We start from the raw sequence: 17,229 nt of genomic DNA, 5'->3' as shown, positions 1-17,229 counted from the left end.
TTTGCGAGGAATCCAGATGATGTAGGAAATTCAACATGATCTGATTCACAAGTTAACAAGCTTTCTCTCTCTTTTGCTGTGTCTAGGAAAGATCTGGAGAAAGTAAGACTGGAAACTTGAGTGCAGCGAGGATACTCTTGTAGCAGTTCAGATGTAATAGAGCCCTGGACTAGGAGGCAGTGGGAGTGGATGAGAAATGTTGAGGAAGAGGAGTACATAAAATTTGGTGCTAGATTGGCTGTGTGAAGTTTGGGTCATATAAGGAACTGAGGCAAACTCCCAGGATCCTGGATTAAGGCATCTGTTAGACGGTGGAACCATTTTCTAAGATGGTATGTGTGATGGTTAATTTCATGTGTTAATTTTGCTGGGCCACAGTACCCAGTTGTTTGGTCAGGCACCAGCCTAGATGTTGCTGTGAAGGTATTTTAAAGATGTGAAAACACGTACCATGAATAAAGCAGATTATCCTCCATAATAGGGCCTGGCCTCATCAGATCAGCCTCAGGAGAAAAGACTGAAGTCCCTGAGCAAGAGGGAATTCTGTTTCTAGCTGCCTTCAGACTCAAGCTGCAACATCAACCTTCCCCTGGGTCTCCAGCCTGCTGGCCTGGCCTGCAAGTTTCAGACTTGCCAGCCCCCACAATCTTATGAGTCAACTCCTTAAAACCAATCAGTTTTCCTCTCCTTCTCCCTCTCTCCCCTTCTCTCTCCCTCTACACACATACCTCATTGGTTCTGTTTCTCTGGAGAACCCTAATATAGTATACAACAAGAAGCAGCATGCTGAGGGTGAAAGAAATGATTCATTCAACTGAAGGCACAGAGAGGTGGAATTGCTAAGGGCATTGCAGAGGTTTCCTGGAGGCGGCTGCTTCCATATGTCCAGAATGAAGACGATTTAGACTGCGAGAATGGATCTGGAGACCAGCAGTGTCTGGCAACAGTTGGTCCTGTGAGTGCAGATGAACTATTCCAGAGAGATTGGAGAAAGGAAACAGGATGTGAGGGCAGAGCTACAGGCAACAGCGAGCAGACGAGACAGAAAAGGAGCAGAGAGATTATAGAAAAGCCACCAGAGCGCCATCACAGCTGCGAAGACAAAGGGTTCTGGGAGGAAGTGGCTGACAGAGTCCAAGGTCACTGAGATATCAGGAGGGATTAAGTGCTGAACAAGTCACTGGTGACTTGGTTGAGTGCAGGTTTTGCACAATGGGGAGGAGACGAGACAAGAATGTAGAGGACTTGTTATTGACAAGTTTGCTAGGAAGGCAAGGAAGGGAGATATGTTGCAGCTGGAGGCAGATGTGGGGGAGGAGAGGGGTCCTGCTTCATTCTTTCTTTTTTTTTCTCCCCTAAATGGGAAAGTCTTGAGTGTGTTTATTTTTCTATTTTTATAATTAAAAGAATTTTTTTTTTGAATAGACACCGGGTCTCACTATGTTGCCCAGGCTGGATTCTAATTCCTGGGCTGAAGTGATCATCCTGCCTCCGCCTCCCACAGTGCGCCACTGAGTGTTTTTAAATGCTGCTGCAAAGGAACTAGTGGTGCCTGGGCGGGGGTGGAGGAAACAGGAGTAAGAGGCCGACTGAGGTCTCAGGGGTGACAGTGCCACCTGATTATCCTTAGTATTTTCTGACTAGGCTTCTCCAAGAACAAATAATAATTTCGATTTACATTTTGGAAGTTTTCCAGGGAGAGAGGTTTGACCTGAGGAGACAAATCCCTTGGCGCTTCTTTGGTGCTATCTGAAAACCAGGCTGCTTCGCCGGCCCTGGAGGGAACACATTTTGTAATTCCATAATATGTTCTTTCATTTCTCAAATCTTTTTAATCTTTTTTGTTTTCCTAATCTTTTTTTTTTTTTTTTTTTAGACAGAATCTTGCTCTGTTGCCCACGCTGGAGTGCAGTGGTGCAACCACAGGTCACTGCAGCCTCAAACTCTCAGGCTCAAGTGGTCCTCCCACTCAGCCTCCCCAGTAGCTGGGACTGCAGGTGCACCCCACCATGCCCAGCTAATTTTTCTGTATTTTTTGTAGAGACACGGTTTTGCCATGTTGCTCAGGCTGGTCTCAAACTCCTGGGCTCAAGTGATCCACCCCCGTTGGCCTCCCAGAGTGCTGGGATTACAGGTATGAGCCATCGAGGCCGAACTTCTTCATTGTTAGACATCAGGTGCACAGAATAGGAAAAATCATAAGCATTCATTCATGACATTCTCTTCTCATTGGTCCATATTTCTCCTGCTTTAATTTAGTTAGTTATTCATTAGTTATTTTAAATAGTATAATGGCATCTATGAACCCACAGACCCCTCCTCCTGCTTCCCCCAAATCTGGGCAATGAATTCAGAATCCAGTTCCTCTCCTTCCTTTCTTTTTTATATTGCTTTATATTTTCTATATGTGTTCCTTAAATGTACTTTTAAAATTTTAGTTGTTTTAAATTTACAGTCTTTTGGGTCTATATTTTCTATATATCAAATTGCCAAGCCTCATCCTTTTGTTGAAGGCAGCTATCATCCACTCTACCTGACTGCTGTGTAATATTTCACTGTGTGAATAGATCATTGTAGGACACAGAATTTGAAGATGGCTGCCAAGATTCTGGGCCCTGGGGAACATACAGTGTTCAAACTTGAATCTAGGTGCTACTGTGATGGGTTTTGCAGACATAATTAATGCCCTTCATAATTTGCAGACATAATTAATGCCCTTCCTTGATTAGATCAAGGAAGGGAGCTTGATCTAATCACATGAACACTTTAAACCTGGGTCTAGAGTCAGAGGCAGGCAAGTCAGACATCCAAAGTAGCAGTGAAAATCTCCTGCCAGCCTTGCAGAAGATAACTTTCATGTCGTGGAAAACACCATGGGGCCAGCAACCTCTAGAAGCTGAGAATGGCTCCAGCTGACAGCTAGCAAGATGGTGGAGACTCACTCCTTCACCCTCTAGGAACTCAATTCTGCCAACAACCAGTGAGCTGGGAAGAGGGCCCTCACCTTCAGATGAGATTGCAGCCCTGCCAACACCTTAATTTCAGCCTGGTGGGCCCCTGAGTAGAGAACCCAGCCATGACATGTCCAGACATCTGACCTATAGAACTGAGATAATAAATGGGTGCTGTTTCAAGCCGCTACGTTTGTCATTTGTTACGTAGCAATAGAAAATGAATACAACCATAGTTTATTCTTCTCCCTTTTCTTGATGAGCAGTTGAGTTGTTTCCAGTTTTTGGTTATTGAGAACTGTGGTGCTATGAACATTCTTGTATGTGTGCAAGCATTTTAGGTATAATTCTTAGAGTGAAATTGTTATATCATAAGATATGTGAATTTTTTTTCTTTTCCTTTTTTTTTTTTTTTTGAGACGGAGTCTCGCTCTGTCTCCCAGGCTGGAGCGCAGTGGCATGATCTCGGCTCACCGCAAGCTCCCCCTCCCAGGTTCATGCCATTCTCCTGCTTCAGCCTCCCGAGTAGCTGGGACTACAGGCACCCGCCACCTTGCCTGGCTAATTTTTTGTATTTTCAGTAGAGACGGGGTTTCACCGTGTTAGCCAGGATGGTCTCGATTTCCTGACCTCATGATTCCCCGCCTCGGCCTCTCAAAGTGCTGGGATTACAGGCGTGAGCCACCGCACCTGGCCTAAAAATGTATCATTTAAGTTTTCGAGGCATAACTTTCTGTATTCATTGGGTGAAGTTCAAATCTTTTACATTCCTGCTGAGTTTTTTTGTTTACTTGACCCATTATTTACAATGATATGCTAAAATCTCCCATTGTGAAGGTGGATTTATCAATTTATCTGTATATTTCTATCAATTTTTGCTTTATATATACTAGGGGAATTAAACTTTTTATCATTTTGGGGGCCCTCCTCATCCTTCATATTTTCTGATCTATTTTATATACTATGACTGACCATACGTCCTGATTTGCCTGAGACAGTCCTAGTTTACTCTGTCTTTTCCTGATATAATTCTTAAATAATACCTTTTACTCTCAAAGGTATTCTGATTTAGACAATTATATATAGTAAATCTAATTTTATATAATTTAACATTATGATACAAATATTCCTGATCTATACTTTTAAGTCCAGGCAAGTGTAAGTCTCTTTTTTCTTGTTCATTGGTCTTAGAATTTTTTTTTTTTTTTAAATCAGAGTCTCGCTCTGTCACACAGGTTGGAGTGGAGTGGCTTGATCTCGGCTCACTGCAACCTCCATCTCCTGGGTTTCAGTGATTCTCATGCCTCAGCCTCCTGAGTAGCTGGGACTACAGGTGCACACCACCACATCCAGCTAATTTTTGTATTTTTAGTAGAGATGAGGTTTTGCCATGTTGGCCAGGGTGGTCTCAAACTCCTGGCCTCAAGCGATTCTCCTGCCTTGGCCTCCATAAGTGCTGGGATTATAGGCATGAGCCACCACACCCAGCCTGGTCTTAGAATTTTAAAAATTTGTTGTTTACTACAACCAACTTTTGTAAGGTATTTGATTATTTTTATTTGTTTCTCCAGCAACTCTTTGATTTGTTTCTCTACTTATTCAAGTTTTGAGGTCTTATATGACTGAGAATATTTGTTTCATGCCCTGATACTTAATTAAAGGGCAGTTTGGCTGGATGTATATTTCTAGGTTCTAAGGTCATATCCTTCAGTACTTTGCTGATACTGCTCCATTGTTTTCCTGGATCCACTGATGCTGTGGGGAAATCTGGTGTCATTCTCGATGTTGGTCCTTTGTATGATTTACTCTGCAGAATTTTCTTTGTCTTTCATAGTCTCATATTTTACCATAGGGTGTGATATATTTTTCTCTTTCTTCTCTTTGTCATTCTGTAGGCCCTTTCATTCTGAGGTATTTCTTTTTTTCTTTTTGAATTCTAGGAAATCTAGCTTCATTATTCTTTCAAATACTTCCTTCTTTTCATTTTATTCCTCTGACTCTCTGAGCCTTATCATATGGATGTTAGCATTTGTATGTAAATACTCCATTTTTTTGGCTTTTCTCTAATATTTTCTATTTTTTGTCCCTCATTTGAAGAACTTCCTCAGTTTGAACTTCCAACTCACTAATTTGTCCTTGAGTTTTATTCATTCTACTGTTTAGTCACATTTGTGAGTTCTTTCCTTCAACTACTATATTTTTTATTTCTTATGCGTGGTTCCTTTTTAATGTTGTCTTAGTATTGTTTCATTTCTCTTTATTTCCTATTAAGCTTATTAGGCTAATTTTAACTTCTTGGACTTTTCCAACATTTCCTCTTCTGATGGAATCTATAATTCAATTTTTTTTAAATGGTTTACTTCTCAACTATCTTGCTATCTTGACCTCATTCTCCATGGCAGTGGCGAGGTCAGTTGGCTTCTCTGTTAGGCAATATCTATGGAGAGATGGGGTGGGGACAGATCAGTCCCAGACAACTGCGCCACCCTCAGTTACTCCACACCCAGCAAAACAATGTTTCAGGTCAGTGCTCCATCTTTGGTCCCCAGGGAGGAGTGGTTTAGAAAGGGGCACTTTTTGGTTCTCAGTTCCCCTGGCCTGAGGGTTTGGAAGGGGTGGTGTTAGAGAAGGAAGCAACTGCCTAGGGTTTTTCTTCCCACCTGTTTTTTCCAGCTCCTCACAGGCACAGGACTTGTGAGATGCCTGAATTTTACTCCTGGGACATCTGGACACAGGTCTAAGTCATCATCAGGGTAGGGGCAGGCACTGTTTGTCCCTAGCATTGGTGAGGGAAGGGGCAAGGGCAGACACCCATAGTTCCTTTTCTGTTTTACCCTTTCCACAGCCACCCACTGATCCTGCTCCTGGCCAAAGTCCCCTGGCCCTTTCCCAGCTGTTTCCCTCCTGACACATCCCATGGATTTTCTCAAAATTTTGTCAGTTCTCTCTTTATAGTTCCTCCAAGGTTTATCTTAGGGGAATTGGCACTAGATATTTACTGAATGTCCGTTTGCAAGACACTGTGCTGGGAGCCGCAGCACCCATAGTCAATGAGGCTGGCTCATTCCTTGTCCACAGGGCTGCTTACAGAGCAGTGAAGATGGACATTAAATACTTTTGCAACTAGGTAATTCATGACATTTGTGGTCAGTTCTAGAAAAGAGACAGTCTAAGCACTTTGAGAATGCACAGGGATTTATCCAGGGGCCTGGGGAGGCTTCCTGGAAGAAGCAGTGTTGAACCGATGGGGAAGAGTGTTGGAAGAGCGATGGAAGAGTGTTAGGCATCGGCCATGGGAGGGAAGGGCAGGTGGGGAGGAACCTCTCAGGCAGAGGGAAGGGCATTCATTAAGGTGGGGTGGTGGAAGGGGAACAGAGCCATTGAGGAACTGGCAGGAGGTCAACGTGGCCAAAGTAAGGGGAAGTGACGCTGGAAAGGAAGGCTCCGGGAGACGCTGCAGGGCTGTCCTCAGAGGCAGGGCTAAGGATTTGGGCTGTAGTCTGAGAGGAATGGGAAGCCACTGGGGAGTTTAAGCCAGAGTGATAGGATCAGAGCAGCTGTTTTGAAGATGACGTGTTGCAGTGAGGATGGGGGCTCTGAAACAGGCAGGAATGAAAGCAGGGAGACCCGGGAGGGGCTACTGCAGGAGTTCAGGTGGAGATGACAGTGGCCAAGATTAGCGTGCTGGCAGTGGAGGGGAAGAAAAGTGGATGGGTGTTGCAGAATTTAGGAGCTGGATTGGTAGGATTTGGTGATTAGGTTGGGTGTGGAGGGAGAGGCAAGTACAGTCTGCCCTCGATATCCGTTGGTTCCACATCTGAGGATCAACCAACTGCTGATCAAAAAAATTTGGAAAGAAAGCCCCGATAAAACAATACAAGAATAAAAATAATACAAATTAAAAATATAGCATAACAACTATTTACATAGTATCTACATTGTATTAGGTATTATAAGTAATCTAGGGCTGATTTAAAGTATACTAGGCTGGGCGCAGTGGCTCATGCCTGTAATTCCAGCACTTTGAGAGGCCGAGGCGGGCGGATCACGAGGTCAGGAGATTGAGACCATTCTGGCCAACATGGTGAAACCCTGTCTCTACTAAAAACACAAAAATTAGCTGGGTGTGGTGATGCACGCCTGTAATCCCAGCTACTTGGGAGGCTGAGACAGGAGAATCACTTGAACCCGGGAGGTGGAGACTGCAGTGAGCCGAGATTGTGCCACTGCACTCCAGCCTGGCAACAGAGCAAGACTCCATCTCAAAAAAAAAAAAAAAGTATACTGGAGGTGTGCATAAGTTATATGCAAATACTATGCCATTTTGTATTGGGTTGGTGCAAAAGTCATTGCGGTTTTTGCCATAAAGACGAAAAAGGCAAAAACTGCAATATTTTTGCACCAACCTAATACAAGGGGCTTGGGCATCTGTGGATTTTGGTATCCCTGGGGGCCTGGAAACAATCCCCCATGAATACGGAGGATTGGCTTTATATAGATGACTCCCTTTGCTTAAATACCTGGCTTCATGGTGATGGTGAGCATAGAGGAAGGACATCTTGGAGAAGAAGCAGATTTACAGAGAAGATGATGAGTTGGCTTTGGACACGTTGACTCTGATGTGCCTGTTAGATGTCTAAGGGGAATACCAGTGCTCAGACGAGAGGTCTGGCTGGGCAGGCCTTGGCTGGCAAATGGTAACCGAATCTGTGGGAGTGGATGCCATTGCAGTGTTTCTCTATGGAGTGTGGGTATTGGCATGCGAGGATGGACAGTTCTTTGGTGATACTGCCTTCTGTTTGGTCCCTCTGCCGCCATCCACTGAACACTAGTAACACAGCATCCACGCTGCTGTTGTGACAACCAAAGCCACCTTCACACATTTCCCAATGCCACTTCCCCTTAAGAACTTGTAGTCTAGAGAGAGAATCTAGAATGAAACATGAAAAAGGCCTATATTGAGATGTTGTAGAGCAGGGGTGTCCAATCTTTTGGCTTCCCTGGGCCACACTGGAAGAAGAAATGTCTTGGGCCACACATAAAATACACTAACAATAACGATAGCTGATGAGCTAAACACACACACACACACACACACACACACACACACACACACACACACACATCTCATAATGTTTTAAGAAAGCTTACGAATTTGTGTTAGGCTGCATTCAAAGCTGTCCTGGGCTGTGGGTTGGACAAGCTTGATGTAGAGGAAGAGGAAGTGGCAAAAAAAAAAAAAAAAAAAAGAAAGAAAGAAAAAGAAAAGCTGAGAAGTGGCCAGAGAGGGGAGAAAGACCAGGTGTTACACAAAGCCCAGAAAAGAGGGTGTTTCTAGAAGAGACGAGGAAGGCCAATTGTCTTGAACCTGTTGAGAAGTCAAGTGGGTACCTAGCAATGATGAGGTCAGTGGTGTGTGGGGAGGAGTGTGAGCTAGCGTGGGCTGGGGTGAGATATGAGTGGTGACCTGGCAGGGGTGGGTCTTTTGTTCACTCCTGTGTGTGCAGGTCCATGCATTCATACGTGATCACTGCACATCCTGGATTTTCTAGGACAGTACCATTTAAAAAAATGTAATTCTGGCTGGGTGCGCTGGCTCATGCCTGTAATCCCAGCACTCAGGGAGGCTGAGGTGGGTGGATCGCTTGAGCCAAGGAGTTCAAGATCAGCCTGGGCAACCTGGTGAGACCCTGTCTCTACAAAAAAATACAAAAATTAGCCAGGCGTTGTGGCACACAACTGTAGTCCCATCTATTTGGGAAGCTGAGGTGGGAGGATCACCTGAGCCCGGGAGGTCATGGCTGCAGTAAGCCATGATCACACCACTGTGCTCCAGCCTGGGTGACAGAGTGAGACAAAAACACTTAATTTTTTTTCTAACAAAGGCAATTCATTAAAAAGTCACTTAAATAGAATTAACTTTATTTTGTTGTAGTTTTCATAGAAATCATATAAAACAGAAAAAAATAATCAAATTAAGACCCCCTTGTCTTAAGTCTTAGTTGAGGAAAAAACCTTTTTTTTTTTTTTTTTTTTTTTTTTTTTTTTTTTAAAGAAACAAACCCAACTGAGGCCAAATATTCTAGTGATGCAGGCATTGCTCAGACGTGGTCTAAGAAGCGTGCAGCAGCTTCAAGGGGAATTCTGGAAGGGAATTCCCACATTTTGAGCAGTGGCCACATTCCTGGGATAGGCGTAGAAGAGGAAAGCAATCTTGGCCCAGGTGCTTCTGCAGTGCCTCTCAGGAGGTTGAATTATCCACTAAGGCTGAATAGGGGCCCTGGTCTTAGCGCCAGAAATGTGTCTGCCCGGAACAGGAGATATGATCATCTGGGTTGAAAATTAACTAGGGAAGGACATGGTCCAGATGATTAAATTCCTCAGCAACCACCGAGTCATCATCTAGCAGATTCAGTCATGGGCTGTGGACTTCAAGTGTGTATTTTTCAGCCTGTAATGTCTCAAGTTGCTCCACTCTGTACTTCTGTGTATGAATCACCAGATATGATGGATTTTGCCCTGTGTTTATAGCTTCACCTATTAATAGCAGGGTTGACAGTTGAAGAAAGTTGAAGCCCAACACACAGACACACACACACACACACACACACCCACACCCACATCAGCACTTATCCTTGTGCCACATGCTCTACTTTATCCTATCCTATCCTATCCCATGCCTTTCTTTTTCTTTTTTAAAAAATGTTGTCTGAGACTCACTAATTTGATGTGTCATGACTCAGCTGTACTTTGGAAAACATTGATTTTAGAAGGCGGCAAAAGAAACCTGCAGGCCATTGTGAAATGAAGGGGTGATTAGAAACAAAAACCAGTGAGGTTACTTCTTAGGTCAAACGGAGCTGTGCCGACACTGTGAAAGGGTCTCTCCTCGGGCTGCCCTTGTCCCAGCTGGTGACGAGGCTCTGCTTCTCCCATTCTTGGCCAGGGCAGCCCAATAGTAAGGTGGCCTACTGCTATGGCTATGTCTCAGGACAGGGCACCCCTAGTGTGAGGCTTACCCCACTTAGAGGTCAAGGGCAGACCACAGGTCAAAGCTCCATTTCACAGACGTTTAAGGGTTTCCTTTGCCTCCCTCCAAGTCAGTGTTTTCTGAACCCCTGCTCAGGCCTATTAGTGGGTCCTGAAATCAATTCAGTGAGTCCTACTAAGAAGAAATGGCATGAAATGGAACAGAATAGAAAATAGCAGGGCACATAGTACATAGGAGGGAAGTAGTGACCTGTTTTGTGTGTGTGTGTGTGTGTGTGTGTGTATGTGTGTGGTGTGCATATGGTGTTATTGTCGGGGGGCTGTGGGGTATGTGGTATGTGTGTGTGCTGTGTGGGTGGTGGATGTGGTATTTGTGTGTTATGTGTGTATGTGATGTTTGCATGGTGTGTATGTGTGTGTATGATGTGTGTGCCATGGTGTGTGTGATGTGGGTGAATTGGATTGTGATCAGAAGTGGCTTGACCCCGAGGCTAGAACTTCGGCACCCCCCACCCCAACACAGCCCCGAGTCTGTTGGGGTTGGTGATGCGATCTCACACCCCAGTGTGGGTTAGGTGACCCTCCAATAAAGCCCACAGTACCCTGCATTTCCACCATCGTGACATTGCGACCCGGTACTGCGGGTTTGCTTGTCCCTCTGTGTGTGTTTATTGGGTCCCTCTGGTGCCTCCACACGGTGGCATCTAACATTACTGAACTCGCTCCATGCTGGGCACCGCTGTTCGTGCCTTCCAGCCACGAATTCAGTGACTCATTCTCTCACACCAACCCTAAGAGTCAGCTACTATTATCACCTTCCCTATATTGTGGACAAGAAAATAGAGGCCCAGAGAGGTTAAATAACTTGCCCAAAGTCACACAGTAAGTGGCGAATCCAGGATTCTAACCCCAACGTCTGGTTCCAGAGCCCCTTTTGTGACCACAATGCAGAAGGCATTCAATGAGAATTGGTTAAGATTGTTAAGAGAATGGACATTTTGAAACTTAAAATTACAATTAAAATATGATTTTTAAAAAGGGTAGATCTTATTAAAGAGAGGGTTCAGGGGAGCTGCTAGAAAGGATTGGAAATGACAGGTGGCATAGGGGCTGGAGGGAGCTGGAGTTCCCTACAGATAGATGCCCACCATGGCACTGAGTGGGTTAGAGGCAGCGTGGGGTGTGGGATTGAGGGGTTAGGAGAGGGCTGCAGTGAGGGTGGGCACTGGGTGGCAAAGGAGAGAGGGAGAGAGACAGAGAGAGCACAAACTTCTGCCCCCTGAGGGAGGGCATCGGGAAAGGGGTGTGGGGAACAGAAATGCCAAAGCACTATTGTGAGGTCATTTGCTGTGGAGTATGTGCCGTAATTACTGAGCCACACCCCACCCTGCCTCTCTACCATACTTTCCAAGGAGCCCACAGTGCTTCTTTTGTGTGAGTGGATTCCTCTGGCAGACTTGAAGAAGTCCTGAGGTTACAATAGTGTAAATGGGGAGATCCAAAGACAGGATGCAGGGTCCATGAGTTGACATCTTGGGTCGTATATTAAAGGGGCTGAGCCAATGGCACTTCCATCTCCAAAGGGAAAGGCCCCTGCTGACTTCTGCAGTCTCGAATCAATGGCTGAGAGATTCAGTGTTAATTCAGAACTACCTGCTGTTTCATTAGACCTGCCCCTATCCCCCAACCCAGAGGGGTGTGGAAAGCTTTGCATTGGCCAGGAGTTGTGGCTCACGCCTGTAATCCCAGCACTTAGGGAGGCTGAGGCGGGAGGATGGCTTGAGCCCAAGAGTTTGAGGCCAGCCTGGGCAACATAGGGAGACCCCTGGGGGTCTCTACAAAAAAATTTAAAAATTAGCCTGGCATGGTGGTGTGCACCTGTAGTCCCAGCTACTCGGGAGGCTGAGGTGGAAGGATCATTTGAGCCCGGGAGGTTGAGGCTGCAGTGAGCCATGATCGTGCCACTATACTCCAGCCTGGGTGACAGAGCGAGACCCTATTCAAAAAAGAAAAGAAAATAATAAAAAAAAAAGGAAAAGAAAAGAAAGGAGCAAGCCTCCTCGCCTTTTGAACCCAGGCACTGGCTTTCAATCTCTTTGAGAAATTAAATTACACCTCTAACATCCTGGTACACTCAGCAAGTCACAGTAATCTTATGGTAAAGTGAGTGCACATAGAATCCTACTTTAAGCAAAGGGCTGTTCTTTCTGGGTCCCATCTACTATAATGGCAGTGGTCATGGTCTATTTTGCATGAAATCTCTTATACATGATTTTGTAAAGAAGGTTATAACAATATTTTTCTAATGATGTTTGTTTGCAATAAAGTGATTGTAGAGCAAGATAATCACTTTATTGCAAACAAGCATCATTGATAATTATTTAGATACATTCATGCATCCTTAAGACAACCCTTCAGATATGGGTAGATTACATTTTGAGACAGCAGGGTGAGGTCTGTAGTGGGTCTATAAGCCAGTTAGCATGATAAGGGTAACCGCCATCATCCCAGCTCCAAGGCTGTAAGTAAGGGATGTATGGGACAAGAATCTGTTTGCCTGGGGAGGCTGAGGATGCGCCACTGTAGTCAGAATGCTATTGTCTAACCGTGGGGTTGATGAAGCACATCTGGTCCAGTGAGTTGTTCTCTGTGCAAATCCAGGCTAGCCAATCAGCAGAACTGCCAGGCCTTGGGTGTGTAAAGTTGGGACAGGAGAGGGGGGAATCAGAGGGAGGAGAGTCTATAAGACTGGTTTCAAAGATGTCTGGAATGGCTCCACTATCTTGTCCTTAACATTTGCCATTCTCCATTTGGTGGCCTCTGCAGATGGCTGCCAGCCACCCTGCATGTGTCTATCTTCAAGACTTCCTTCTATATCTAGATATGTGAACTTGCAGGATCTGCTGAAGGCAGGGACTCAGGTCTGAATTTCTTCCCATCTGAGCACACCATGGATGTGTGCCAATGTGGTGGTAGGACAAAGACTTTAAACCATTGACTTATTATGGGAGTCAACACAATGGGCAATCTAACCTATAGAAAACAACAGAAAAACATTTTGAAATGTATACATGTTTGAAAGGCTACTATATATAGAAGTCTTATCCCTCAGTGCCTCTGGGGGATAGGATTCATATATATATATATATTGAAGCCCAAATATCTATATGTTGAAGTCCTATCCCCCAGTACCTCTCAGAATGTGGCTGCATTTGGAGAAAGGGCCTTTAGGAAGGTAATTAAGGTAAAACGAGGTCATGGGGAGAGGGGGCTTTAATCTGATATAACTGATGTCCTAATAGGAAGAGGAGATTAGGACACAGACACAGAGGGGTGACCATGTGAAGACTCAGAAATCCGCCATCTATGAGCCAAGAAGAGAGATCTCAGAAGGAACCAATTCTGCTGACACCTTGATTTCAGACTTCCAGTCTCCAGAACTGTGAGAAAATACATTTCTGTTGTTGACGTCACCCCTCTATGGCAGCTCTAGTGGAATAATACTAATAACAGTTGCTGTCTTAGCAGGGCCTATAGCTCCTTTCATGTTAGGAAACGGCTCCCTCTGCTGGGTCTTTGTGTTAAAAGCCAAATGATGCCCTGAAAACAATGACTCATGTTTGGACGGTGCAGAACAAAGTGCTTAGATTCTTCTTTTACAGAATCTATATAGAATAAAGAATGTAGAATCTTTGTAGAGTTCTTTGTAGAATCGATCGCCTGTAATCAGGGTTGATATTGACAATATTTAGCAACTGTTGCGGCTCTCTACTGTGTCTGCCATTAACCCTGTGGATGCTGGACTGTGAGGCTGGGCTGGGGATGGTCCTGGGGTGGGACTCAGTGGACAGGGTAGTGTGGGGAGGATTGAGATGGGGACATTCAGGGAAGTGACTGTGTACCAACCAGTGCAGAAGGATCAACCAGGCTGGAAGATACAGTCTCAAGGCTGAAGATCCGTGTGTCATCATAAAAAAATAGTTTCCTAATATCTGTTCTATAAAACTATCTTTTTATAAAACATCTTCAACTTAGTCTATTGCTCCTGGAAAGAGCCCACAAACAAATATGCTCTTATAAGCAAAAAATCTCTTCCTGGTATGGTTCACGGCTCTCCAAGACATATTCCTTGTCAGTCGGATTCATGCTATTATCCTCACTCTCCTCCTGGCAGTCAGGTTGTGTTGCTGAAACTATAAACACCGCAAGTCTGGAGATAAGATTTGGTGAATTGCAGTTAGAATGTTGAATTTTCTATCACTTTCCGCCTTGTGTTATTGCTACAAAACCAAACCTATCTATCACGCAGCAAGCGCTAACCACAGCAGCCTCTGTGTTTCTACCCTAGTTTTTGATTCTCTATTGTCCTAGTCTCTTGCAGACTAGAAATTGTAAGAGGAGGCATGGTTAATTGAGGGTGGGGTAGAAAGAAGGAAAAGAGGAGGCTAGCAGGGTAGAAACATAGATGATATTGACACATTGAGAAGAGATTGCTAATCTACCATCGTCATTGCTGGGACTCGAGAAGGGCCTTACTGGGATCCAGCCAGGATTAGCTCAGCCACTGCTGCTGTGGTTAGGGTTTGCTACACGATACTCTTTTGAACACATGCCATGGGGACAGTTCTGCACTTCTGCTCCCGTCTGTGGTGTGACAAGGCCGGCTCTGTTCCCTTTTTCCTTCTCAGTCTTAGCTTTTGAGACGCCATGAAACTGACAGTACTGGTTCTGATTATGTGCAAAAACTGGATTCCAACTGCCAAGCATTTCTTTCTCAACTTCTGATTAGCTGCAACTTAGTAGTCATTCAACCTTGAATAAAACAATTTCACCTGAATATAAAAACACGTTTAAAATTAAGAAATTGCTTGCTTACACAATATATTATTCTTTCTTTTTCTGGCATCTTCCTTGCGGTTTAGATGTCATATCGTAACTTCTCCTTCCCCAAAGGGTCAATCCAACTCTAGTGTCTTGTTCCATGTGGGTCTTTTGTTCCTTCCACCCATAATCTAAAGGTCCCAAGGCACTTCCCCTATCCTCCCTCAGCCAAGCTTCATCCTTGGGCTCTGCCCTAGAGTAACTCAGCTGACATCTTAAATATGTCTGATCATGCTAGTTTGTATAATTCCTGTTTTCTGCATGCAGACTATGTGTTTTTCCTAACACACCAGCAAATATTTAGTAACTTTAAATTTATGTGCCAGTATTTTGCAAAGTGCAGTGGGGGGGTACAAAGAATTGAAAACCTGATCTCATCAACTGGAGTTGACTACACATATGTAGGTACGGGAAAGAGTAAGATATAGAGGGTACCACCTGTAGCTGGAGTACCTCCAGCACCGGGCGATGCTTCCCACTTCTCTCCTCTGTAATGCACAGGAAACATTATATTTCCAAATATGATGCATTCCCATGGGTAGCAGTTGCTCTGCCTCTTTCCCAACCAAGAAAGCCTATGGAATTTAGGGATTGTTGGGATGTGATCAAAGGGACAACCTTAAATATCCACTGTTTCTAAGAAGGATCCTTGTTTAGACACTTAGGAACAAATTAACTTATCCCCCTTATCCTGCCCAGCATCCATCAGTGGGTTAGGGAGGTATGGCAGAGGATGGCTGGCAAAGATAGGGCCATTTTCTGCATACAGATCACACTGCAGAGAAATAAACTGAGTTCCCTAGCGGCCTTTGCCTCTGCACTGCTGATTGCAGTTGGTGCCACACTGTGCCAAGTGATAAGCTCTTGAAAAGGAGCAGTTGCGTCGTGTCCTCAGAGGAGGACTGTGTGGAATGTTTGTGTCTGCATATTCAAGCTTGTTGCCAGATCTGCTGTTTCTGGGCCTCTCTCATTCTCAACTTCCTTGTGTTGAAAAATGAAGATATGAATTCCTCTCTCACAAGGGCTGTTGTGGAAATTCAATAAAAGTAATTTTGTGAGAGCTTTTAGCACGGTGCTGGCATTCAAGTGGTTGGTTGCTCAATAAATATTTGCTGGGTGAAAAAAATCTGATATTTACTTCAGAGTTCACTATGTCATTTTTCTTAATGAAAGTATATCCAAGTAGATATCTTGCTAAAATAAGAACAGCTGGAAACTATCTTAAGTGGAATTGCCTGAAGAAGAGGTGTGTCCATTTTCATTGTTTTGTAGAGTTTAGTTCATCCAGCATATCCCTCGCTTCCTTTCCTTCTTTATAGGGTTCCACAAGGAGCTTTGCTGTGGGCGAACTGTTAGCTGGAGCTGTGATAATTAGGCCAAGGTCATGCATCTGTCCCTTGTGGGCCAGTTAGCTCAGCTTGGCTCCATGTCCATACGCATTGATCTTAACCCAGCGGCAGACTCACAAGTGTGTGACCGCATCCCAGAGGACTGCGGGGGAAGGGTTTCTGTGGATCAGGGCAAATCGCTCCTGCCGGAGAAGCACCTTCACGGTCAGCTCTCTTATGGTTATTATGACCTGAAGGTGGCGCTGTTTCTCAAGGAAAACTGGCGTAGGGTCGCCGACAGTCTATTTTAAAGTGAGTGTGAAATGATAGAATGTCAGAGTTGGAGAGAATCTGCGAGGTAATCTTTGGATCGATTTCCTCACTTTCCAGCCAAGGAAACAGATCCAGAGGGATAAAACTCTTGTCAGAAGTCACACCACAGATTCCTGACAGAGGCATGGCTAGACACGGGCCTCCCAGGTCATAAACTTTTACAATTTTCACTGCACTAAGGGTTTCCTGATCCTAAATGGTATCAAGCAATTAATAATGCTTAAAAGAAAACTGAATGAATCATTGATAACTAACCTGGTGATATTGTCAATGAATTAAGTTACTGAATTTCAAATGTCTGTTATTTCTAATCACAGGTCAGATTCAAGTTGTTTTGGCTTTTACTACAAAAAGCATCTTTACATATATCTGCAATTTAATGGATAATTTATTTTCCCTTTCCATACATCTGAAAGAAGAAACATAATTGGTATGAACAGCACTTAATTCCAGACTGACTTCTTTTGAACTGTAGGTAAGCATTATTTGTTTGAATGATTACAATTGAGACAAAATGTGGGTTTTTAACAGCTGCTCACAGATTGCAGGCTGATAATGACAGTAACTCTATGGCAGCTATTTGTAACCCCTACCCTAGTTCATAGAAAGAGAAGCATATTAGACAGTGGGCATGGCAAGTACCTCTCCGCAGGTGTGTACGGAATCAGAATTCAACTTTTAGAAGATTTCTGCTCTGAAAACAAATTATTTTTTAAAGTAAGCTTTTACTTATTTTGGGGGGTATG

The 17,229-nt window shown here is 44.2% G+C and overlaps 1 annotated feature.

Annotated features, from left to right (window-relative positions):
* Nucleotides 7,763-7,822: a silencer, noted in NCBI's record as "silent region_13249". NCBI's record gives its function as "represses an Ori minimal core promoter by ATAC-STARR-seq in GM12878 lymphoblastoid cells {active_cell/tissue: GM12878}" and the evidence as "EXISTENCE:reporter gene assay evidence [ECO:0000049][PMID:35858748]".

This window comes from Homo sapiens, chromosome 21 (genome assembly GCF_000001405.40).
Source record: "Homo sapiens chromosome 21, GRCh38.p14 Primary Assembly".
Taxonomy (NCBI): Eukaryota; Metazoa; Chordata; class Mammalia; order Primates; family Hominidae; genus Homo; species Homo sapiens.
Note: the sequence above shows the minus strand (reverse complement) of the source record. Positions and strands in the feature narration are given on the sequence as shown.